At 44.1% G+C, this 26307-nt stretch overlaps 1 protein-coding gene, 1 non-coding gene and 1 pseudogene across 8 annotated transcripts in view, besides 1 other annotated feature; 1 reads left to right on the forward strand and 2 right to left on the reverse strand.

The window, feature by feature from the left end:
* EZH1 (enhancer of zeste 1 polycomb repressive complex 2 subunit) overlaps positions 1–26307 on the reverse strand; it is a 44766-nt gene that overhangs the window by 3548 nt on the left and 14911 nt on the right. For 2 of the 7 annotated variants that reach the window (XM_011524517.3, NM_001321081.2), the window contains 16 exons: positions 25003–25130; positions 23840–23941; positions 20483–20602; positions 18973–19093; positions 16451–16627; positions 15283–15385; positions 14632–14795; positions 14154–14245; positions 9387–9567; positions 8467–8663; positions 6024–6115; positions 5054–5094; positions 4136–4261; positions 2185–2363; positions 1266–1361; positions 780–861 (listed from right to left, as the gene is read on the reverse strand). In XM_011524517.3, coding sequence (XP_011522819.1) covers positions 780–861; positions 1266–1361; positions 2185–2363; positions 4136–4261; positions 5054–5094; positions 6024–6115; positions 8467–8663; positions 9387–9567; positions 14154–14245; positions 14632–14795; positions 15283–15385; positions 16451–16627; positions 18973–19093; positions 20483–20602; positions 23840–23941; positions 25003–25130 — 2001 coding nt within the window. Of the gene's footprint in view, positions 1–779; positions 862–1265; positions 1362–2184; positions 2364–4135; positions 4262–5053; positions 5095–6023; positions 6116–8466; positions 8664–9386; positions 9568–14153; positions 14246–14631; positions 14796–15282; positions 15386–16450; positions 16628–18972; positions 19094–20482; positions 20603–23812; positions 23942–25002; positions 25131–26307 lie in introns of those variants that run through there. The other 5 variants (NM_001321079.2, NM_001991.5, XM_005257145.3 and 2 more) reach the window with 3 other exon arrangements.
* Positions 1028–1668: an enhancer, noted in NCBI's record as "+39 kb enhancer region used in reporter constructs". NCBI's record gives its function as "activates an SV40 promoter by reporter assays in GM12752 lymphoid cells {active_cell/tissue: GM12752}" and the evidence as "EXISTENCE:reporter gene assay evidence [ECO:0000049][PMID:25578878]".
* MIR6780A (microRNA 6780a) lies at positions 4262–4329 on the reverse strand. The gene has a single exon (NR_106838.1). It is a non-coding gene; the product is annotated as a microRNA 6780a (primary transcript).
* On the forward strand, positions 10477–10817 carry RPL34P30 (ribosomal protein L34 pseudogene 30; annotated as a pseudogene).

The following is a 26307-nucleotide window of genomic DNA, read 5'->3' on the forward strand; positions in this document are numbered from 1 at the left end:
GTATAAAGTAAATCAAGGAAAACCATAAGCACAGCAGGCAATTCCACAGCTTCTCAGCTTGAATTTAAAATCAGTTAAATGGTAACAGAAACACTTTAGTCTGATGGGAATGTTGAAGCCCAGTGTGCTAACAGGAGCAGAGGAAAGCATGCAGCCTCAGAATTCAGCCTTGTGTGGGAGCACTCCCTTTGGGTCCCTCTTTGAATTATGGATCTTCTCATCTACTGGGCAGGGAGATTTCTCAGGTAAAGACGCTCAGCACTCCTATTACAAACAGAACCCAGAAATGGAGGTTCTTCCAAAGCAAGGGCACTGTGGCCTGTGGGATCCCCAAGTGTGATCCTGCCCCCTTGCTCTATGCATCTGCTGGAAGATTCGGAGCTGATCTAAACTTGGACTACAGCAAGGGCAATCTGGTAGAAAGATCACCTTGGGGCCAAGTGCGGTGGCTTACTCCTGTAATCCTAGCACTTTGGGAGGCCGAGGCGGGTGGATCACTTGAGGCCAGGAGTTCGATACCAGCCTGGCCAACATGGTGAAACCCAGTCTCTACTAAAAATACAAAAATATTAGCCGGGCATGGTGGCAGGTGCTTGTAGTCCCAGCTACTCGGGAGGCTGAGGCAGGAGAATCACTTGAACCCGGGAGGCAGAGGGTAGAGGCTACAGTGAGCCAAGATCGCACCATTGCACCCTAGCCTGGGCAACAGAGCAAGACTCCGTCTCAAAAAAAGAAAAAAAAAAAAGACCACCTTGGGATGAGACAAAGTGACTTCATACCATTATTGAGGTTGAAGAGGAAGCTGGACATGTATTTGTCATAGACCTTTCCGCGTCGATCAGCCTCATCCTGAGAGATGAGCTAGAGAGATAGACAAATAACAAATAGGAGTATCAGGCTGCCTGCTCAGGGCATGGTACCCTGCCCCCAGAAAGGGCTGGGTGGTATCTCACATGGGTGCTTACTGAGCATCATGATGAGAATCACAAGAGAGCAAGTTCAAGTTATGCTGTTCCAATTCCCACCCAGGCCAACCAGTTTTAAGGCTGAAAAGAGCCCCCCTCATCTCTTGTGTCTGGAGTTGCCAAAGAGTTGAACAGTGGTTTCAGTACTGCAAACGGTTCTGTGGGATCTCCCCAAGAGGCCACGTGAGAACACAGCTGAGTTATTTAGAGATTAATTCAAAGAAGCCTGGCCCACAGAAAATCAGAGTTTCTCATCAGTCTCCCCCGAGTAAGAATGTGGGCCAAAACTATAGCACTCACCTCACCACAGTATTCAGAAATGAATTCGTTCTTCTGCACAGACTCCTTTATGAAGGTGCCCCATCCGGCCACATCAGAGGGGGCCAGCAGCAGGTGCTGGGGAAGAGGGGGCCAAGTCTCAGACTACAGGGTGTGCATGAGTAGGGGGTGTGTGCTGGATGTGCACATGTGTGGTGGGGGTGGGGTGGAAAGAACCAGCAACTGTTAAGAGGATCTGAAAGCAGAAAAAGGTCTAACCCATTCTTTTCTGCTTGGGAGAGAAAAGAAAATGGGAGGTGGTGACGAACGGAAATAGGATATCTCTTCCTTTATCCATGGAGCCCTCCTGGGCCTTAGTCTATAGGAATTCACTGCAATGTGTGAGGTAAACATAGACATCACCAAAGGTGCATACACCTCGCAGCTCCTTTTTGTCTGGCCAGTTCAAGGAACCACTTTTCTTTCTCTTTTTGGAGATGGAATCTCACTCTGTCCCAGGCTGGAGTGCAGTGGTGCGATCTCGGCTTGCTGCAACCTCCACCTCCCAGGTTCAAGCGATTCTCCTACCTCAGCCTTCTGAGTAGCTGGGATTACAGGCATGCACCACCATGCCTGGCTAATTTTTATATTTTTAGTAGAGACAGGGTTTCACCATGTTGCCCAGGCTGGTCTCGAACTCTTGACCTCATGATCCGCTGGCCTCGGCCTCCCAAACTGCTGGGATTACAGGCATGAGCCACCACACCTGGCCAGGAACCATTTTTCTAAGCCCTACTGGGACTGAAGCCTTTATTAATTCAGTAAATATGTGTCTTTTAGGATTTATCAAGCACTTTCACATATAAAGCCTCAAAAGAACCAGTGGAAAGAGAATGCTTGGGACCGTTCCTTCCTTCCCCCTCCATTTTATGTGGTGTGGGGTCCTGAGGAAAGGCCTCACCTTCTTAAGTCCACGCTGGATGCTGCAGTTTTTACAGGAAACCACCTTGCAGTCCCAGTGCTCTGAGGCCCCACAGGTGAGACACAGGTCAGGGTCACATTCTCGCACTGCCAGATAGCAAGGACATTGCTTGGTATTGCACTGGGTCTTACAGCGACAGCCAGGGAAACGATTCTGACCTGGGAAGGGAAGACAGGTAAGTCTTAGAAGGGAAATAAGCTAATACTGGGGCTTGTGGTTGACTCAAGGGACAGCAAAGAAGTAAATTTTTTGTGTTCAAGGATGTTTGGCAAAATAAGAGGAAGCTCCCTTCCCAATAATCAAATACACAAGTTTTGTCCATAGAAAACTGAGTGCTTCCCAACATTCATGCCTTCGAGTCAAAAAAGCAGGTGTGGTCAAGCATGGTGGCTCATGCCTGTAATCCTAGCACTTTGGGAGGCCAAGGCAGGAGAATCACCTGAGCCCAGGAGTTCAAAACCAGGCTGGGCAACATAGGGAGATCCTGTCTCCACAAAAAAATTAAAAAAAAAAATAGCCATGTGTGGTGACACCTGCCTGTAGTCCCAGGCTTGATGGATGTAGGGGGATGAATGGCTTGAGCCAGGGAGGTTGAGGCTGCAGTGAGCCATAATTGTGCCACTTCTCTCCAGCCTGAGCAACAGAGCTGAGATCCTGTCTCAAAAAAATTTAAAAAATGAAAAAAAAAGCAGGTATACTAATAAGAAGTGTCCCCTAGAGATTCCCCAACAATCCTCTCCCTCCCACTGAGGTGGAGAGTACCCCAGAGAATATGAAATCAGTGTGTTTCACTGGTAAATTGTCACCATCAAAACAAGTATCATTTTGAGAACAGAATGCATCCGTTCTATGCCATCCTTCTCCACCCACTGCCCAACCCAGCGCAACCACTTCTCTGCTGCGGCTAAGATCACTATCTGCTATGGGTTAGGAGGTATTTCCTCCAGCAAAACCGCCTGGGCACCAAGTTCTGCAAGCTGTGGGGACTGCCATCAAACTGCTCAGCTTTGAGTTGGGAAGGGCATGGTGGGATAAGAAGTAAAAGATAAGTACCCGGATGTCTCTGCTGACATCCAGGCCCCTGTCTTCTACCTGATATTAAAACTCCAGCTATGAAATGAAAATAGACATACACAGAATCACAAACAAAAAATATCTGAATAAAAAATTTTTTAAAACAGTATTCAGAAAAGGGAAACTGGGGCTGTAACTTAAAAAAAAAAAAAAGAGTCCCACATTTCTTTTCTTTTTGAGACAGAGTCTTGCTCTGTTGCCCAGGCTGGAGTGCAGTGGCACAATCTTGGCTCACTGGCAGCCTCTGCCCTCTGGGTTCAAGCAGTTCTTGTGCCTCAGCCTCCCAAGTAGCTGGGACTACAAGCATGTACCACCATGTCTGGCTAATTTTTGTATTCTTAGTAGAGACGGGGTTCACCATGTTGGCCAGGCTGGTCTTGAGTCCTGACCTTAAGTGATCTGCCCGACTTGGCCTTCCAAGTGCTGGGATTATAGGCGTGAGCCACCACACCTGGCCTAATTTTTTTATTTTTAGTAGAGATGAGGTTTCGCCAAGTTGGCCACGCTGGTCTTGAACTCCTGACCTCAAGTGATCCGCCTACCCAAAGTGCTGGGATTACAGGCGTGAGTGACTGCGCCTGCTGCCCCCCACATTTCTTAATTCTCCCCTAGAAGACAAAGTTGGGAAAGTATCTGATTTCTGTGTAATTGCTGCTTTTAGAATCATGAACCTAAACGTTTTCCAGAAACGACTCTCCCAGATCTCATGCACTTATTTCATTTGTAGAATCCCTAAAACACAGCAAAGGGGATATCAGAAGGCCATAAGCAGTAAAGGGCACAGGAATGGGGCAAGCCTAGGGCACACTGGAGCCAACTGTTTTGGTAGACTATACAGAAAACGTAGCACACTTACAGTCTGGGTTGCACTGGCAGAACTTCTCACAGAAATTCTGAGTCATGATGCAGGGGCAGGTGCTGTCACAGGGGCGGTCTGGGTGGTCGCAGGGTTGGTAGTTGTACACTTGTGTGGAAGAGTTATCTAGGAAAGAAAACAGAGGAGGATGCTGCTGTGACCATACTCTCCAGCTGTCTTCCCTCCCAAGTGTCCAGCTGCCCTGATTCAGAGGAGGCTGGTCCTAACAATCTCCTTGGACACACATTTAGCACCTGAAGTGAGAAGACAGGGATGACCGTTGTTCATAAGCTGCAGTGGGGTGATCTGCTTTGTGGGGAGGGTGTGGAGATGGTCTGGGACAACAGGGAAGCTATTCTAAACATTAAATGAGGTCTGGAACCTAGCAAATGGCACACTAGAAAAGTCACATACTGGCCAGGCACAGTGGCTCACGCCTGTAATCCCAGCACTTTGCGAGGCCGAGGCAGGTGGATCATTTGAGGTCAGGAGTTCGAGACCAGCCTGGCCAACATGGTGAAACCCCGTCTCTACTAAAAATACAAAAATTAGCCAGGCATGGTGGTACATGCCTGTAATCCCAGCTACTTGGGAAGCTGAGGCAGGAGAATTGCTTGAACCCGGGAGGCGGAGGTTGCAGTGAGCCAAGATTGTGCCACTGCACTCCAGCCTGGGTGACAGAGCGAGGCTCCATCTCAAAAAAAAGAAAAATCACAGACCACAAGGCCCTTAATGTTACCTCCTAAGAGGTCTTCTCAGTTGCAGTGAGAGGCTCAGCTGTTCTCAGTTGCTGCAGAGAATTCTGCAATCTGCGGAAGTGGCACAGGGTCAACAAGTGCAGCTGGAGGTGGGGTAGGGTGATGACCACAGAGTGAGGCCTCCAGCTGAACTGCTGAAGAATGCCCTGGTAGAACTTACCTTTCTTCAGCTGAATCTTCCTGCAGTGTGCAGCCCACAATCTGAAAAAGACAGGAAGGACAGGTCTCAGTCACGGCCCTAGGGAGCTCTGCAAATGCAGGTAAATGACAACGTGACTTGCTCTGAGGGACTGTGTTTGATGACTGGGGAGTATCTTCCCAAACCCCTCAACAGGACGACTTTGGTACACAGAAGCTAGAGTCCATCCTAAATCCAGCTGGCCTGTGCTACAAGAGTTAAACTTAAACACAACCCCTCCCAAACAAGCAAATAACATAAAAGAACACAACACAGAAATAAAAGAAAGCCCAAGCCTATTGGTCTATTATAAAGCTATTGTTTCTCTCCAAATCTCTCCCTTTGTCTTTGTGGAGGTGGAGATATGGGGGAGTTTCAAGATGGGGAGGTGGGAAGGCCTTTCAGGAATCTTCTCTGAAAGAACTGAAAGGGAGGAGCCACAGGGATTTCCTTCTGTATCTAGAAGTGGTGTCAGCTCCTTCCTCTGATAGGTGATAGTCACTAGGGAACAGGGCCAGGGTGCAGAATTTTTTTAAAAACTTCCAACCTAAGTAAAGGCTATCATGTAACTCAGAAAAACAACACAAACCAAACAAATAAATAAACTCTGATCAGAGTTGAGAAATGGGTAAGGTGGTAACAAAACCAACAAGGAGAAATGGCTTCAGGGTGGAGCCATGAGGCCAGCTCATGTCCTATTGGCCAGAAGCTTAAATAGAAAAACAGACAGTTATGGTCCACAGCACTGGGGGACAAGAAGAGGGCTGATCTAAGGCACAGACCCTCAGGGAGCACTCAGGAGGCTGGCTCTCAGTCATGTGATGCCAAGCTGATGGGCTCACACAGCCTGTGCGGTTGCTAAAGAGGGAGGCAGATGGGAACTCCAAGGGGAGGTCAGAGCACAGGGAACAGCCTGGCTGTAAAACAAAACACTTTGTCCAACCCTTCTTGCCTGTGCTTTCTTTTCTTCTTCTGTGAGGGGTTCATGAGCTCATCTGTTGGCAGCTTCAGGATAAGTGATTCTTTGACTGCAAACTGAAAGACCTGGAAGAGAAATCCAACGGGCCTGTCACTCCTCGAGCAAGGGGGTCAGGTAAGTGGCCCAGCTGGGTGCTGGCCTTGGGAGGGTTCTGAGAAACTCAGGCAGCTGACCAAGCCTCTCATCAGTCAGGGAGAGACAGAGTGCCACTGGAACATTGGGTTACTGGCTCTGAAGTTCATTCCTAATTATTTATCCTGACTCAGGAAAGGAGAAATACTGAGCACAGTAATACCGCCCCTGGTCAGAAGCTGTCACCTACTACTCTTTCTACCAAGCCACGGGTAGAAGAGTGGGCTGACTGTGACCAACAGTATCTTCTTCTTTTTAGGAAGGGCAACGCTGTGCCTTGTGTAACTGAGTGTAAGGCAGGACAGGACAGGACAGGAATGGTTTCAGTGGGCTAAATATTAGCTCCCTCTGTCAGTATAAAGATACCGGAGCCTCAGCCATTTCAATAGGATGTGTTTTTTCTCTTAAAGCACTGGTTTTTAGTTTTTCCTTTTCTTTGTTGGGGCTATTGGCCCTTTGTGGGGGATCTTTGAAAACTGTAACTATTCTCAGGAAAATACAGACAAGAACATTCTTGCATACAAATCCATAGATGGTTACGTTGAGAACCTGTGATCAGGGAAATAGGTATGAGCTCCAAAATGAAAGCAAAGGGCACTTCAGCTCATGGTTCTGTTTTTGTTTGTTTTTTTTTTTTTTTTTTAAGAGAGAGGGTCTCATACTCTTGGCCAGGCTGGAGTGCAGTGGTGCCATCATAGCTCAATGTAGTATAGAACTCCTGGGCTCAAGCCATCTTCCCACCTCAGCCTCCTGAGTACTAGGACTACAGGTACGTGGCTTTTTTTTTTTTTTTTTTTTTGTAGAAATGGGGTCTCACTTTGTTGCCCACACTGGTCCTGAAATCCTGGCTTCAAGCGATCCTCCCACCATGGCTTCCCAAAGCACTGGAATTCTAGGTGTGAGCCACCTTGCCCAGTCCATGGTTCTATTAATTGTTCTCAGTACAGGAAGCATGAAGAAGAGGCCACAGAGTCTCCTCCAGAAGGTAGGAAGCCAAAGCATTGGGGTTCCTTTCCTGTTGGACATGCTGGCCCTGACAGCTGCCTCCTTGTCCCTGTTCTTCAGTCTGTCTTCTCACTGTGGTCTTTTCCTGTCTTTTCCTGGGCCAATCACTTGAGGTCAGGAGTTTGAGACCAGCCTGGCCAACATGGTGAAACCCCATCTCTACTAAAAAAAAATACAAAAATGGCCAGGCACATTGGCTCATGCCTGTAATCCCAGCACTTTGGGAGGCCGAGGCGGGTGGATCACCTGAGGTCAGGAGTTTGAGACCAGCCTGGCCAACATGGTGAAACCCCGTCTCTATTACAAATACAAAATTAGCCGGGCGTGGTGGTGCACACCTGTAATCCCAGCTACTTGGGAGGCTGTGGCAGAAGAATCACTTGAACCTGGGAGGCGGAGGCTGCAGTGAGCTGAGATCATGCCACTGCACTCCAGCCTGGGCAACAGACCGAGACTCCATCTCAAAAAAACAAAACAAAAAAAATTAGCTGGGTGTGGTGGTGGGCACCTGTAATCCCAGTTGCTTGGGAGGATGAGGCAGAAGAATCACTTGAACTTGGGAGGCGGAGGTTGCAGTGAACCAAGATTATGCCACTGCACCACTCCAGCCTGGGCAACAGAGCGAGATTCTGTCTCAAAAAAAAAAAAAAATTAGCTGGGCATACTGGCCTGCACCTGTAGTCCCTTGCTACTTGCTTGGCTGAGGGGAGAGGACTGCTTGAGCCCAGGAGGCGGAGGTTGCAGTGAGCTATGATCATGCCACTGCACTCCAGCCTGGGCGACACAGTGAAACCCTGTCTCAAAGACAAAATAAAGATAATCTAGTGATAGAAAATGTGGAGAATAAAATGACTGAAGAGGCTGGCGGAGTGGTGGAGGGAGCAGCAGCTGCAGCAGCTGCAGCAGCAGCAGCAGTGTGCTCATTAACAAGAGCCACAGAAAGACCTGGGAGTCCCTTCTGGGAAAGGGGTACACATTTAGAAAGGAGGCCAGAGCCAAAAAAAAGAAGCGAAAGAGTGTAGGACCCAGAAGCATTAAATAGAGTCCAGACAGAAATGAGCATTCAGCAAGGAGGAGGCGGGTCCCCAAACATCATTAGGCCTGGCACTTGCAGAAGGGCCATGTTTGGGAAACTCACAGAAGCACAGGCTCATCAGGGACTGAACTTAAGACAACTTCTCTCCAGACCCAGACACACAGCCTGGTAAGATGGCAAAGGGCTGGACAGAGCAATGCGTGAAAGGAGGGGCCCATTTGTTCTGCTGCTTCCAGATGGTACCTGCTTGCACGTCTTGGTCCCCAGAAGCCTGGCTATTGAACAGAAGTTGTTGAAGTAGGTGCCATGGAAGACTCGAAAAAGAGATTCTTCAGCCCCAGTCCATTCCACAGGCTCCGAGGGTGCTTCCACTACGCAGAGTTGAGGTGGGGCTGGACTAGCCTTCTGTTTTGTGGGAGTCTGACAGCGAGAGTTAGCCTCTGAGAAGGGAAGAAATAACAGAATCAGAAGAAGGTAGAATGCAGTTGTCATCAGTAGTTTGTCACAAACTCAGAAGTACTTCATTCTACTTTAAAAGGTAGAACAGTTAGGAATGAAAATATTCCCTATCTTTAGGCCAGGCATGGTGGCTCACGCCTGTAATCCCTGCATTTTGGGAGGCCGAGGTGGGTGGATTGCTTGAGCTCAGGAGTTCAAGACCAGCCTGGGCAACATGGCGAAACCCTGTCTCTACTAAAAATACAAAAATTAGCCAGGCAGGGTGGCTCACGCCTGTAATCCCAGCACTTTAGGACGCCGAGGCAGGCGGATCACCTGAGGTCAGAAGTTCAAGACCAGCCTGGCCAACATGGCGAAACCCCGTCTCTACTAAAAATATAAAAATTAGCCGGGCGTGGTGGCAGGCACCTGTAATCCCAGCTACTTGGGAGGCTGAGGCAGGAGAATCGCTTGAACCTGGGAGGTGGAGGTTGCAGTGAGCCAAGATAGCACCACTGCACTCCAGCCTGGGCAAAAAAGCGAGAGACTGTTTCAAAAAAAAAAAAAAAAAAAAAGAAAATATTCCCCATCTTTACTGTTTACAAAACTTGTAGAAAGAATTTATAATTTTTAAGAGGTAGTAAAGTTAAGTGTCAGGCAGTGATCCTGGGTTTACCAGAGTCCTTGCATGGAAAGAAAAAGTCTTCATTTTCTGTTCATCGTACCTGAAGAACTGGAGGCCCAGTCATTGCCTGTGTCCCTGTCACTGTCTCCTTCTTTAGTCTCAGCCACAGCAGAGGCTGAGGCATTGGAGCAGGAAGCACTGACTATGTGGTGCCTTCTCCGGCGACGACCAGAGCACTTGGAGCGGGGGTTGTGGAGCATGGCATACTCCTTTGCTCCTTCCTGCAGTGGACACATTACAGACAGGAAATAGGAACAGGCCCATCACCATATTGATCTCATCATCACAAACTTTCATCTTTACAACATCTGTCTACAATAATAGTGTCTTTTCTTTTTCTCTGTACCATATAATAAGTATGATCATATAACAATGAGAGCTGCTTAACAAAACTTACGTACTTTTTCACAAAAGAGTTGTCCTATAATGTTTTTTTGTTTGTTTGTTTTTTTGAGACAGGGTCTCTCTCTCTTGCCCAGGATGGAGTGCAGAGGCCTGCTCACTGCAGCCTCGAATTCCTGGGCTCAAGTGATTCCCTTGCCTCAGCCTCCCAAGTAGCTAGGACCACACGCACATGTCACCATGCCCAGCTAATGTCCTATAATCTTAAAAAAGATATAATCTATGCATCTGTGTCTTCAATTTTCCAGTGAGTTGTATCTAAAATTAACTTGCGTGTTACTTGTTTGGAATTTGAGAACACATTCTCCTATGGATGAAGAAATGAGATTCAGAGAGGGGAAGAAACTAGCTTGAGAGTATGCAGCTAATAGTTCCAGAGGGGTATAGGAATCAGGGCTCCTTGTCTCCCTAGGCCACTATTCTTTCCAGTCTACCACACTTTCTCTGTTTCCTTAATAAAATGTGTAATGCTTAATCTGTACAATCTTACTACTTAATTTTGAAACTTCCTCCCAAATCTGTGTATGAAACTCAGAAGAATATTGTTTCATTATTTTACAGCTATCACCCCCTTTTTTAAAAAATGAAATAATTATCACTCACCTAGATCATCAATATTTTCTCATCAGACTTGGTTTTCAAAGACTTCCTAGCTGTTTCTGAAAACTAAATCTATTTCTACAAAATAAAGGTTTATCTTCCAGTGACATTGTCTAGAGGCACTCAGAATGGTCCAGCATTTGACATACATGTAGGCTTTCCTACAATATAGCTTTTAACAAAACTAGGCTGTCCTGAGCCCCTGGTAATAGAATTGATTACCTTTATACCAAGAGGGTTGGGAAAGCACTGAAATCTGCATGTGGCGTGTGCCCAGCAGACTTCGGGGGGTTTGTGCTATGAGACCTAAAGTTCCTATGAGATTGTCCAAAACAAAAAAGCATGTCAGCAGGGCCTATGGTGGATCCGTGTGTGCTGAATGTATTGGTGCAGGAGCAAGTGTGCTTTCCTTAGCAAGCAGCAGAAAATTGTTGTGAAAGTGTTGAAGGCACAAGCAGAGTCAGAAAGCTCAATTTAAAAATGAAGTTTTTTTGAGTAATAAAAATGAAAAAAAAATAAAGGTTAACTATCATTAAGGGTATCTGGAATTTGGAATAATATACAGTAAGGCCTAAAGGAAATTCCAAAAGAGAAGTTTCAAAATTAACTGAACCTGATATTATGTGCCTATGCTGTGTATGAAGTATACAGTATCAATTATACTATTTTAAACATTTATATATATTTACATATAATTTTTATATATTATATATATAATATATAATATGGAAATATATTATATAATTATATAATTTATATAAATATAAAATATATATTTATATAATATATAAATATATGAAATTTATATAAATATATTTATATATAATTTATATAAATATAAAATATATATAATTTATGTAAATATAATTTATATATTATATATGTATTTATATACTATATATTACATGTATTTATATATTATAGATTATATGTATTTATATATTATATATAATAGATTATATGTATTTATATATTATATATTATAGATTATATGTATTTATATATAATATATATCATAGATTATATGTATTTATATATAATATATATTATAGATTATATGTATTTATATATAATATAATATATAATAGATTATATGTATTTATATATATATATATTTTTTTGAGACGAGGTCTTGCCCTGTCACCCAGGTGAGTACAGTAGCATGATCTCAGCTCACTGCAGCCTTGACCTTCTAGGCTCAACTGATCCTCCCACCTCAGCCTCCCAAGTCCAGTCCAGCTAATTTTTGTATTTTTTATAGACATGGGGTTTTGCCATGTTGCCCAGGCTGGTCTCGAACTCCTAGGCTCAAGCTATCCACATGCTTCAGCCCCCCAAATTGCTGGGATTACAGGCGTGAGCCACCATTTTAATATAATGGCCAAACATTTTAACATAAATAAAATCAAGTTTCCAGACCTAATTTCTAGGTTATAAGAAAGAGGAGACAGAAGAACACAGAAATGACACTGTGAAAAAACAACAGATGAATCCAGGATGTGGGTCATCCTACAAGACAACCAGCCTGGAACTTTTAAAAAGATTTTAAAAGTGATAGAATTATTTGAGATTAAAAACGAGTAAAAAGACATAACAAGGCCGGGCGCCTTATTACACCTGTAATCCCAGTACTTTGGGAGGCCAGGCAGTCTGATCACCTGAGGTTGGGAGTTCAAGACCAGCCTGACCAACACAGAGAAACCCTGTCTCTACTAAAAACACAAAAATTAGCTGGGCGTGGTGGCGCATGCCTGTAATCCCAGCTACTTGGGAGGCTGAGGCAGGAGAATCGTTTGAACCCGGGAGGTGGAGATTGTGGTGAGCTGAGATTGCACCATTGCACTCCAGCCTGGGCAACAAGAGTGAAACTCTGTCTCAAAAAAAAAAAAAAAAAGACATAATAACCAAATATGATGTCTGACTGGATGATCCTGGTTTGGAAACAAAACAAAACAAAACACAACACAAAAATACCTATTCTTGGTACAGCTGAAAAAAAAATTGAATATATTAATAGAATGGGTAATAGAGGATACTATACAATTTTTATTAATTGTCCTAGGTGTAATAATGTGGTTATGTAAGAGAATGTCTTTATGCTGAAACATTTACCAAATGAGCATCACAATGTCTGCAACTTATTGTCAAATGGTTCAGCAAAAGATATACATACGCAAATTTATGGAGAAAGGAGATACAGAAAAAAATGTTATCAAATCCAGGAAGAAGGTATCTTTCAACTCTGCATGATTGAAAATGTTCTTAGTAAACAGTTGGGGGAAAATAGTCCAGCATTATATTTAATATGCACTCAAACCTAAAACGCAATAAAAGAAAAATTGTGCATACATTATCTCTGTAAGTTAAACATGCATACATTTCAGGCATTGGCAGCATCTTCGTAATACATGTACAGGGTATCAAGGTGACTCCTGTGAGAAGGGCAATGACCTTTTGACTTATATAAATGCTGGTATGTTGACATAACATGGCATATATATTTTTTTAAGGATGAAGTAATTTCATTTTATTATTATTTTTTTTTTGAGATGGAGTCTCACTATCTCACCCAGGCTGGAGTACAGTGGCGTGATCTCGGCTCACTGCAGCCTCCACCTCCTGGGTTCAAGCAATTCTCCTGTCTCAGCCTCCTGAGTAGCTGGGATTACAGGCGTGCGCCACCACACCTGGTTAATTTTGTATTTTCAGTAGAGACAGGGTTTTTCCATGTTGACCAGGCTGGTCTCAAACTCCTGACCTCAGGTGATCCACCTCCCTCAGCCTCCCAAAGTGCTGGGATTATAGGTGTGCACTACGACGCCTGGCTGAAAAACATGGAGTAATTTTAAAAGCATGATCTGTGGAGTTAGACCCTGACTTGAATTTCATCGCTGCCATACCGCTGACTTATCAACAAACTTTAGGCAAAATATATAACTTTTGTAATCCAGTTTCCTCTACCTCATGACACTGTTATAGGATGAAAATAAGACAAGGTATGTTAAGGGTCTACTATGATACTTGGCACATAGGAAGGAGTCAATACACATTAGGAAAAAATAAACCCAATAACGTCTATTCTTTTGCTTTTACAGTACGGCCCATTTTCCACATGTGTGCCCAACAGCATTCTCTACCATCTTTCCATCTATTATCCCACTAAAGATGGTTCCAAAAGCACTTGGCTGGTTGTATAATATAATTTTAATAGGTGGCAGAAATTTTATCAAGGTATTTTATTCATCGCCTAGGCTCATCCTATTGTGTAAAAAGCCCAACTGTGTCTTTGGCAAGTCCAGTTGATCTATTTCCTTCTAGCTCTCAATATATGGCTTCCCCACAGGTATGCCAGACCATTTATGCTGCTTCTTAAGGTCTGTCCATCAGGGAACGGTCCATCTGGTTGATCACAACAAGACATCAGCATCATCACGTGCTATTCGTCTCATAGTTATATGCATTTATAACAAGATAGCAAAGAAACTAGAGTGTGTACCCACCCCCCCAGCATACACTTTGCTCCAATTCTAACAATACAGTTTTAGGCTCTGAAATCTAAGCAGATGATATTTAGAGCAGGCAAGCCTTTAATGATCTTCGAATCTGCACTCCATCAGACTAACTTTATAGTGCTACCATGTCTGGGGAGTTCCTTAAGAGCGGTCCCACAGTAACTGGGGAGCTCCTTAAGAGCAAAAGCCATGTTTTATTTGTGCTATATGACCCCCAGAGTGCTGTGTACTGGCTCACGTGGCTTGTGTTCCCAGAATGAAGTTAATAATGCCAGAACAGCTTAAGAACATACCAGCAAAAGGAAGCAGTCTGTGCCACATGGTTCTGGTTCAATCTTGATTTCTTTATTCTTGCGTTTATATACATTAGGGGTGGCATGAAAAGCTGGAAAACAAAAACTGTCTTGTTGCCAGTGGTCTATCCACTTGACAAGATGGGGAGAAACAAAAGTGAATTAGAGAGCTATTGTAGGAGTTAGAATTCGATATAAACGGCTACCATCAGGGTGCACAAAATTCAGTCATTTCTGACATCAACACAATGCTTTCAAAGCTAAGAGGTACTGAGGGACAGATAAGTTGCTAGTTAGTCTGTCCCTATCATGCAAAGCATGTTGCACTATAATTGAGCAAGGGAAAATAGAACTGGCCCTTTGTAAAACGTTAGAACAGAAGCCAGGAACTCTATACGAGAAACCAGAACAAAGAGAAGGAAATGGTGGCTGGGGATGGAAGAGAGGAGAGCATTTCAAACAGAGTAGCCCCACTCACGGTGAAGGAAGCAGTCGTATTTAAAGCAGCGCCGGCAAAAAAGTGTGTGGAAGGAGTGCAGAGATTGCTCCCGCTGCACAGACTTGGCATTGGGGCCATCGATGTTGGGTGTGCACTGAGGGGGAAGTGCATTGGGGTCTGACATCTCTGTTAGTTCTCGATACCTATTTAAGAAAAGAGAGATAAGAGTTCCTCCGAGGAACTGCCTCCACTGAGGAAATACAGATTGGGTACTGACAGTAGCTCACCTACGGTCTGCCAAGGGAGGATGGGTGTTTTTTATAGGTCTGGTTGATAAGAGAATGGTAGATAACTAGAGTGGGTCCACCATTGTAATTATGCTGGGTTGGGCAAATGTTGGAAAGTAAGGGGAGGGAAGGATTTGTTAAGATGGTGCTGGAGTTAACTCTCCAGAAAAATGGCAGAGTAAATGTTCTCTGCCCAGACTCACTCAAAAGCCAGTATACGATGACCCTTAATATAGTAAGGGGGGCATTTAGAGGTAATTGAGTAAGCAAGAAATAATCAAATTGCGGGCAAATCATAATGCCCTTACCATAAACAAAGCTTTTTACTAACCAAAAATTAGGAGGGAATAAAGGTTTTGTCCGAGCACTCTGTATATGGCCTAAGTGGGACAGCTTTCCCTACCTCTCCTTCATGTCATCTGGGACACCATTCTCAGGGAACATTGAGGCAATTGCACTGAAGATCATGTCATTTGGGAACTGTTTCTTGGAACTCTTTTTGTTGCCTGAATTGGAAATGATAAAAAGCTCCTGAGTGCGATTATCAGAACACGTAAACAAATCTGTGTGATCTTTTTTCCTTTTGTCATAGCATTTTGATTACAGCTGCTTTGTTAACCTAACCACTGATTGTTTGGAGATATATAAACATCAGTGCTATCTGGACTTATCTGATATATGCTACCAGTAAATAAGGAAGTTAGAGTAGTCTACATATTAACAACAAAATCCACAGTCCCAATTAGAATCTGGATGTGAGGTGGCTCACGCCTGTAATCCCAGTCAGTACTTTGAGAGGCCGAGGGGAGCGGATCACTTGAGGCCAGGAGTTTGAGACCAGCCTGGCCAACATGGTAAAACCCCAACTCTACTAAAAATACAAAACTTAGCTGGGCATGGTGGTGCATGCCTATAGTCCCAGCTACTTAGAAGGCTGACACACAAGAATCACTTGAACCAGGGAGGTGGAGGTTGCAGTGAGCCGAGATTGTGCCACTGCACTCCACCTTGGGTAACAGAGCAAGACTGTGTCTCAAAAAAATAATAAATAATAGATTTTAAAAATAAAAATAAGAATTTGGAGGTGAAAAGAGTGTTCATAGAGAGGCCTGAACATAGAAGAATCCTATCATGAAGTGGATGCTGAAGAACTACACTGATACTATAATTATGATACAATAAAAGAGAATACACTATGTCCCTGGACATATAGTATAATTAAACTATTAAATTTTAAATTAAACATTAGTGACATGGAAAAGTACTCATAAGATTAAATAAAAAGGGATATAAAATTTGATATATACATATATATAAATTGGCATGATCCCAATTTCACATGAGACATATAATTAGAAATGAATAGCAATGATTATTCTATCAGTTCTTCTACTTTCTTCTTCACCCAAGTCACAGCTATCTGAAGCTATCACTTAATGATCATGTTCTCCTTTTAAGTGAACCAACAAGAAGCACCAACAGCCTTTAATAGGCAACAAATCTTTCCAGTTCTTCCTTCTTCCCTATCCCTGTCACTTTAAAAAAGGAATAAGGGAGCCAGTGCTACGTACCTTCAATAGCATGTCGCTTTCTCTTTCTTGTTACTGGCAGATCTTCTTTGCTGTCATCCTGCTTTCCATCTGAGGTGTCATTGTGCCCTTCCTCCTCCTCATCTGAGTACTGATTCAGGGCATCGACCAACTCCAGAAAAACAGCATCACTAATCAGAACGGATCCAGGGATCATCTCTGAAACATGAGGATTCGAAAGATGAGCAGTGGTCACTTCACATTCCATTAGTCCTCCTAGGCAGGTTTTCTTGTACTCACTCCAGAGGCCCAGATATGTCACATGTGTACATTTTTACATGGGAGATCAGGAAATTACAATCATTTGATTGGCTCCTACACATGCAGTGGGCAGCTGGCTAGAGTAGGAATACAGCTATAGGCTTTATTTATTTTTATTATTTTTTTTAGACGGAGTTTCGCCTTATTGCCCAGGCTGGAGTGCAATGGCGCGATCTTGGCTCACCGCAACCTCCACCTCCCAGGTTCAAGTGATTCTCCTGCCTCAGCCTCCCGAGTAGCTGAGATTACGCATGTGCCACCACCCTGGCTAATTTTGTATTTTAGTAGAGACTGGGTTTCTCCATGTCAGGCTGGTCGTGAACTCCAGACCTCAGGTGATCCGCCCGCCTCGGCCTACCAAAATGCTGGGATTACAGGTGTGACCCACCGTGCCCAGCCATAGGCTTTATTCTTACTGAAGAACTTCACTTCCTCAGTCACAAGTCAACTCTGAATTTCTGGTTCAAAATCTCATGAAAGTGTTCAAACAATCTCCAAGTAGGGCAGAGAAAAATAATAAAATGAAAATTCTCTTGGCTTTGCTGCTGATGGGTCAGTAATGACGTCTCTAAATCAAAAGACAGCAATTTTTCCTAAAATTGTACTTTATGGAGATGTACTACAATTTAGGAGGTCTTTGAACACTAGGAGGCACTGTGGACAAATAATGTAGTTCAACAGCATCACAACAGTGCCCACAATTGTCAAAAGAGCAGGTGGGGCTGTTGGTTTATGAAGTGATGGAGAGCCTCTCCTCTTTCCATTTCTTACACACGGACAGACTTTTCTAGAATTATGACTAAATCCAAACAATTGGCTTTTAGGAAATTCAGATTATTAAAACCAACTTCTGGGAGATTCAGGGGATGCCTGGATCAAAGAAGTATGACAGAGAGCCTCATTGCCATTCTCAGAGAAAGAGAAATAAAGAACAAAATGGTCTTGGATGTCCTTATGGAAAACTCCTAAGCCCTAAGATTAAACTTATTTGTACAATAAACTTTCTCTCCAGCCACTGATTACTACATAATCCTTTTATGTCCCAACTCCTTTTAAAATTTAACTAGGATACTTTAAATAATTTTTATTTCTGTTTCTGCTGCTTGAATCAGAAATAACTAGGGTAATAAAAAAAAAAAAGAAAGAAAGAAAAAAAGAAATAACTAGGGTATTTTGGGCCAGGCATGTTGGCTCACTCTTGTAATCCCAGAGCTTTGGGAGGCCAACGTGGGAGGATTGCTTGAGGCCAGGAGTTTAAGACCAGCCTGGGCAACGTGGTGAGACTCCATCTCTACAAAAAATTTTAAAAATAAGCCAGGGCCGGGCACGGTGGCTCACGCCTGTAATCCCAGCACTTTGGGAGGCTGAGGTGGGAGGATCACAAGGTCAGGAGATCGAGACCATCCTGGCTCACACGGTGAAACCCCATCCCTACTAAAAATACAAAAAAGTAGCCGGGTGTGGTAGGCGCCTGTAGTCCCAGCTACCTCGGGAGGCTGAGGCAGGAGAATGGCATGAACCCGGGAGGCGGAGCTTACAGTGAGCCGAGATTGTGCCACTGCGCTCCAGCCTGGGTGACACAGCGAGACTCTGTCTCAAAAAAAAAAAAAAAAAAAAAAGCCAGGTGTGGTGGAGTGCACCTGTAGTCCCAGCCCCCCAGGAGGCTAAAGCAGGAAAATCACTTAAGCCCAGGAGGCTGAGGCTACAATAAGCTATGATCATGCCACTGCATTCCAGCCTGGGTGACTGAGTGAGTCCCTGTCTCTAAAAAAAAAATAAAAAAAAAAATTGGGCTAGGCATGGTGGCTCACGCCTATAATCCCAGCACTTTAGGAGGCCGAGATAGGTGGATCACCTGAGGTCAGGAATTCGAGACCAGCCTGACCAACATGGTGAAACCCCATCTCTACTAAAAATACAAGAATTAGCTGGGCATGGTGGCAGACACCTGTAGTCCCAGCTACTTGGGAGGCTGAGGCAGAAGAATCACTTGAACCCAGGAGGCAGAGATTGCAGTGAGCCTAGATTACACCACTGCACTCCAGCCTGGGCAACTAAGGCAAAACTCCGTCTCAAAAAAAAAAAAAAAAAAAAATTAACTCCCAGCCATGTGATGACATTGAAATATTCTGCAGTGTGTACCCCATGGGGCAGAAGATAAAAGCAAGATGGCAAGATGATGAGGTACCAAAGAAGAGGCCTGATTCTAACAAAATTTTCTCCAAGGAGTTCAGTACCACTACCTTCTTCACCATGGACTTTCCCATCATAGTTATTGATCAGCTCCTCAATAAAAGTCTCATCTTCTTCTTTCACTTCATCTCCCATGTAGGGAATATTGCACAAAACCGTCTCATCTTCTACCTGAAACCAAACCAGATGTGATTTATTCCATGAAGCCATCATGCATCTGCTCTTTCCTATTTAGTGGAATCTTTGCTGAGCTTTGTTTGTTGCTTGAGTCTCCTGAAAATGCCTTTGTCCCAGAGTTTCCTGCATTTTAAACACTGGCCATTTTGTTTGGCCAAAAAAACCTCAAATGGGGCCAAGTGTGGTGGCTCACGCCTGCAATCCCAGCACTTTGGGAGGCCGAGGCAGGCGGATCATGAGGTCAGGAGATCGAGACCATCCTGGCCAACATGGTGAAACCCCATCTCTACTAAAATACAAAAAATTAGCTGGGCGTGGTGGCGCATGCCTGTAGTCCCAGCTACTAGGGAGGCTGAGGGAGGAGAATCGCTTGAACCTGGGAGGCAGAGGTTGCAGTAAGCTGAGATCGCGCCACTGTACTCCAGCCTGGCGACACAGTGAGACTCCGTCTCAAAAAAAAAAAAAGTTTCATAAGTAGAGAGACAGATGGATAAATAAAAATGAAGGCTTCTAAGATTATGATCTGTAATTTAACTACAAAATAAACTGGGCAATCATAAGACATGGGTATTCTATAAGATGGACTAAGATTCTCCAATAATAAAAAAAAATTATGATTACAACTCATGCCAGTCACACTCAATGGGAACCTAAAGTCAACTGCAGCCTAGGCTATGGATATTTTCTGGCAATAAACAATAGTAAATAATTTTGGGGGAGTGGGGTGCTCAGCAGAGAATATAGTCATTCTAAAATCCCCAAGTAGCAAGTAAAATTATTCTGAAGTTTTATTCTAAGAGATGATTCCCTTCTATAAACCTCGACCTCATTCCAACCAGTAGTACGGCTATCTGTCACCAGGCAGATGATAAGCAATGGCAGTATTTAGAGAGGAATGATTATCAAAACCACAAATAATCCTAGTAGGAGTCAGCACAAAGGCCCAGATGAAAGGACTGTGTGCACGTCTGTTGTCTCAGTTGTTTTTGTAGCATCTTGCATTTAGAGAATTCAGAAAGGATTACTCCATCAACAGGGAGCAGACAACCTGCTCAAGCCTCAAGAGTCTGATTTAGACTGCATTTAACTGTACATAATATTGGGCCAAGGTACTAAGAGAAAATTGAAATCTTGCCCAATATTATTCATTTAAAAAAGAACCAGCATCAATTCCAAAGCACACATCAGAGAGCATAAAATCTGACAAGTTAGAACAACTTGCAATATATATTGTTTAGAGTAAGTAAATTACAACCTTGTTCTGCCCTGCATGTCCTAGCTGTGTTAATTACTGGACAATCTTTACCCTAAGAGGAGCTCTGGCATATCAACATAACACAATCATACAGTTTAAATAACCACCACAGTGCTTTCAATACATACCATAAAGTTCTGTTGGAGAGGGGACCAGGAATACATGATGGGAACCAATGCAACTGTGTTCAGTGACCTCATTAACATATGTTGGCTTGCAAATCCCGGGAAAATGCTCTCTATGGTACACTGAAATATAAGCAATGACATGGAGAGGGAAAGACGGGCATATAACCCAAGAAAGAAATGTAATTTCCTTCCAAAATTGGCTGGGCATAGTGGCTCATGCCAGTAATCCCAGCACTTTGGGAGGCCAAGACAGGCAGATCACTTGAAGTCAGTTGGAGACCAGCCAGGCCAACATGGTGAAACCCCATCTCTACAAAAACATAATACAAAAATTAGCTGAGCATGGTGGTACACACATGTAATCCCAGCTACTTGGGAGACTGAGGTATGAGAATCACTTGAACCTGGGAGGCAGAGGTTGAGTGAGCCACTGCACTCCAGCCTGGGTGACAGAGCGAGACTCTGTCTCAAGAAAAAAAAGAAAAAAAAGAGAAAAAAAATGATCTTAGTAGCCTCTAGTTCTTACAAGCTAATAAATTAAATTTTTAAAATTCAGATGGCATTTAAAATTATAAAAAATTTGACCAGGCATGGTGGCTCACGCCTGTAATCCCAGCACTTTGGGAGACCGAGGCGGGTGGATCATGAAGTCAGGAGATCAAGACTATCCTGGCCAACATGGTGAAACCCAGTCCCTACTAAAAATACAAAAATTAGCTGGGCGTGGTGGCACATGCCTGTAGTCCCAGCTACTCGGGAGGCTGAGGCAGGAGAATTGCTTGAACCTGGGAGGTGGAGGTTGCAGTGAGCCAAGATCACGCCACTGCACTCCAGCCTGGCGACATAGCGATACTCCGTCTCAAAAAAAACAAAAACAAAATTTTAAAAACAACTTAATAAATTCAGAGTTTTGTAACATCATCTCCTAAAAGGAATCCCTAGACTGCAAACTTGTGGAAAGTAGAAACTCTTTTTTTTTTTTTGAGACAGGATCTCACTCTGTTGCCCAGGCTGAGTGCAGTTGTGCAATCACAGCTCACTGCAGCCTCTGCCTCCCAGGCTAAAGCCATCCTCCAACCTCAGCCTCCCGAGAAGCTGGGATTACAGGCATGTGCTACTACATCCAGTTAAACAGCTAATTTTTCTTTTTTTTTTTTGTAGAGACAGGGTCTCGCTATATTGCCCACGCTGGTCTCCAACTCCTGGACTCAAGCAATCATCCTGCCTTAGCCTCCCAAAGTGCTGGGATTACATGTGTGAGCCACTATGCCCAGCCAAAAGAAGGGACTCTTATTCACCTTTGTGTCCTCTATAGAGTTCAGCACAGTACTTCCCATACTCAGCTGATGTTTACCTCAGCTCAAACTGTTGGTCTACCTGGGTTATACACAACAGTAAAGAGCCTCTGAAAGTCCTAAAAGATGAGGAAGTTTTCTGAAGACCTAAACTTTAAGACAGTGGACATCAACTTAGCTGCATAGGTGATAGGGATAGTACATGGAGAAGCAAAGTGGTATAGAAATTATAGTAACATTCTGCTTCAGGAAAGATATTTGCTCTCAATACACTATCTGCTTTTCGTTTTTTGTTTTGAGACAGGGTCTCACTCTGTCGCCCAGGCTGGAGTGCAGTTGCACGATCTTGGCTCATTGCAACCTCCGCCTCCCAGGTTCAAGCAATTCTCCTGCCTCAGCCTCCTGAGTAGCTGGGATTATAGGTGCACGCCACCACGCTCGGCCAATTTTTGTATTTTTAGTAGAGACAGGGTTTCACCATGTTGGCCAGGCTGGTCTTGAACTCCTGACCTCAGGTGATCCACCTGTCACAGCCTCTAAAAGTGCTGGGATTACAGGCATGAGCCACTGCACCCAGCTTCTGCTTTTTTTTTTTTTTTTTAAGAGACAGTCTCTTTTTTTTTTTTTTTTTTGAGACGGAGTCTCGCTGTCGCCCAGGCTGGAGATCATAGCTCACTGCAGCCTTGAACTCTTGGGTTCAAGTGATTCTCCCACCTCAGCCTCCCGAGTAGCTGGGATTATAGGCATACACTACCATGCCTAGATAATATTTACTTTTTATATTTTAAAAATATTATCTATTTCCCAGGTGTTGGAGGTTACAGTAAGCTATGATCATGACACTGCACTCCAGTCTGGGTGACATAGTGAGATCTTGTCTCTAAATAATAATAATGATAATTTATTTTCATAAAGTTTCTTTTTTTTTGGAGATGGTGTTTTGCTCTTGTTGCCCAGGCTGAAGTACAATGGTGCCATCTCAGATCACTGCAACCTCCACCTCCCGGGTTCAAGCAATTCTCCTGCCTCAGCCTCCCTAGTAGCTGGGATTACAGAAGTGTGCCACCATGCCTGGCTAATTTTTTTGTACTATTAGTAGAGATGGGGTTTCACCATGTTGGCCAGCCTGGTCTCAAACTCTTGACCTCAGGTGATCCACCCACCTCGGCCTCCCAAAGTGCTGGGATTACAGGTGTGAGCCACCGCGTCCAGCCAAAGTTTCTTAACTAGAAAATTCTTTTATTTATTTATTATTTATTATTTTTTTTGAGACACAGTCTCACTCTTTCACCCAGGCTGGAGTGCAGTGGTGTGATCTTGGCTCACTGCAACTTCTGCCTCCTAGGTTCAAGAGGTTCTCAGGCCTCAGCCTCCCAAGTAGCTGGGATTATAGGTGTGCACCATCACACGCAGCTAACTTTTGTATTTTTAGTAGAGACAGTGTTTCGCTATGTTGGCCAGGCTGGTCTCAAACTCCTGGCCTCAAGTGATCCATCTGCCTCAGCCTCCCGAAGTGCTGAGATTACAGGTGTGAGCCACTGCGTCCAGCCCCCGTAATTATTCTTGAAGCTGCAGATTTACTATCTTAATTATTCAAAGTTGACTAAAATAGCTGTATCTATTAACCTTAACCTTATTTATTTATTTCCTTTCTTTCCTTTTTCTTTTTTGGACATAAGGTCTTGTCTGTCAACCCAGACTGGAGTGTTGTGGTGAAATCATAGTTTATTTCAGCCTTGAACTTCTGGGCTCAAGAAATCCTTCCACCTCAGCCTCACAAGTAGCTAGGACTACACCACCATGTCTGGCTACTTTTTTAAAAAATTTTTTAGAGACACAGTCTATGTTGCCCAGGCTGGTCTCAAACTCCTCACCTCAAGCGATTTTCCCACCTCAGCCTCCCAAATAGCTGGGAATACTTGTGTGAGCCACCATACCTTGTCTTACTTATTCACTTTCTAAAAAGTCACAAATATAGGAAAAAGCTTTAAGCCCAAGGAAGAGAGGAAGACTGAGCTTAAACTCCCAAAAGTACCTTTTTGAGAAAAGGGTGTCCACTCACAGGCTTCATTGACTGAACAGGTTGGACACGAAGCTTCTTCCATTCTTCATTGAGGATCTGGGTTTTTTCTTGAACCTTTGCAAAATTTGCCACATACAAAGCCTAGCAAAGCCATGGAAAAGATTAAGATATATTGTTATTTTATTAATTAATTAATAATTTATTTTTTTGAGATGGAGTCTTGCTCTGTTGTCACCCAGGCTGGAGTGTAGTAGCGCGATCTCAGCTCACCACAACCTCCGCCTCCCGGGTTCAAGCGATTCTCCTACCTCGGCCTCCCAAGTAGCTGGGATTACAGGCACAGACCACCACACCTGGCTAATTTTTGTATTTTTGGTAGAGACAGGGTTTCACTATGTTGGCCAGGCTGGTTTGAAACTCCTGGCCTCAAGTGATCTGCCTGCCTCAGCCTCCCAAAGTGCTGGAATTACAGGCATGAGCCACCGTGCCTGGCCTTTTTTTTTTTTTTTGAGATGGAGTCTTGCTCTGTCACCCAGGCTGGAGTGCAGTGGTGCCATCTCGGCTCACTGCAACCTCTATCTCCTGGGTTCAAGCAATTCTCCTGCCTCAGCCTCCCAAGTAGCCGGGATTACAGGCATATGACACCACGCCCGGCTAATTTTTGTATTTTTAGTAGAGACGAGGTTTCACCAGGTAGGACAGGCTGGTCTCGAACTCCTGACCTCAGGTGATCCACCTGCCTTAGCCTCCCAAAGTGCTGGGATTACAGGTGTGAGCCACCGCACCTGGCCCTGTTACGATTTCAAAACAAAAGTTAAAAAGAAATTCCAACCCCTGGGCCAGGCGCGGTGGCTCACACCTGTAATCCCAGCACTTTGGGAGGCTGAGGCGGGCGGATCACGAGGTCAGGAGATCGAGACCATCCTGGCTAACATGGTGAAACCCCATCTCTACTAAAAATACAAGAAAATTAGCCGGGCGTGGTGGCAGGCGCCTGTAGTCCCAGCTAATCGGGAGGCTGAGGCAGGAGAATGGCGTGAACCTGCGAGGTGGAGCTTGCAGTAAGCTGAGATTACGCCACTGCACTCCAACCTGGGTGACAGAGTGAGACTCTGTCTCAAAAAAAAAAAAAAATTCCAACCCCTTTACACTGGGTCAGTATATTGAAATATATAAACTTTCACTTGGGAATTATTTTTTACCTTTGCACCCATATTTGCCTGAAGCCGTTTAAGTTGTCGAAGTCGCATGTATTCAGATTTCACTTTTCTTTTCCAGTAAGTGATACATTTGGAGGTAGGGGGATTTGGTATTTCCATCTTGCTGTAATCTAAGAGAGACAGAGATGAGAAATAGCATTTTATTGCCTGGAAATAAAGCATTCCTCAAATACAAAAAAAAAAAAAAGATCAATTATGCTTTCATTCCCATTAAATTTACTCATAAAAACACACATTTAAAGAACCCAAATGTGTGAGTTCAACAGAAAGTTTCAATTTAAAAAAAAGAGGCAGGGGCTCACACCTGTAAAACCAACACTTTAGGAAGCCGAGGTGAGAGCACTACTTGAGCCCAGTGATTTGAGACAACCTTGGGCAACATGGTGAAACCCCATCTCTACAGAAAATACAAAAGTTAGCCAGATGTGTTGGCCAGTGCCTGTAGTCCCAGCTACTCAGGAGGCTGATGTGGGAGGACTGCTTGAGCCCAGGAGGTCAAGGCTGCATTGAGCCGTGACCACGCCACTGCACTTCAGCCTGAGTGACAGAGTGAGACCTTGTCTCAAAAAACAAAACAAAACAAAAAAACAAAAAACAACAAGAAGTCCAGGCACGGTGGCTCACGCCTGTAATCCCAGCACTTTGGGAGGCCAAGGTGGGTGGATCTTCTGAGGTCAGTAGTTCAAGACTAGCCTGGCCAACATAGTGAAACCCCGTCTCTACTAAAAATACAAAAAAAAAAAAAAATTAGTCGGGCATGGTGGCTTGTGCCTGTAATCCCAGTTATGTGGGAAGCTGAGACACGAGAATTTCTTGAACCTGGGAGGTGGAAGTTGCAGTAAGCCGAGATCGCACCACTGCACTCCAGCCTGGGTGACACAGTGAGACTCCATCTCAAAAAAGAAAAAAAAAAAAGTCCGGGCATGGTGATTCATGCCTGTAATCCCAGCACTTTGGGAGGCCAAGGTGGGTGGATCACGAGGTCAGGAGTTCAAGACCAGCCTGGCCAAGATGCTGAAACCCCGTCTCTACTAAAAATACAAAAATTAGCTGGATGTGGTGGCACACGCCTATAATCCCAGCTACTCAGGTGGCTGAGGCAGGAGAATGGCTTGAAACCGGGAGGTGGAAGTTGCAGTGAACCGAGATCACATCACTGCACTCCAGCCTGGGCGACAGAGCAAGACTCCGTCTCAAAACAAAAACAAAAGACAAAAACAAAACAAAAAAAAACAACAACAACAAAATTTCACATCAGCAATTTGTGGTCCAATTATCAAAAAGCTT

Source organism: Homo sapiens, chromosome 17 (assembly GCF_000001405.40).
Source record: "Homo sapiens chromosome 17, GRCh38.p14 Primary Assembly".
NCBI classification, from domain to species: domain Eukaryota; kingdom Metazoa; phylum Chordata; class Mammalia; order Primates; family Hominidae; genus Homo; species Homo sapiens.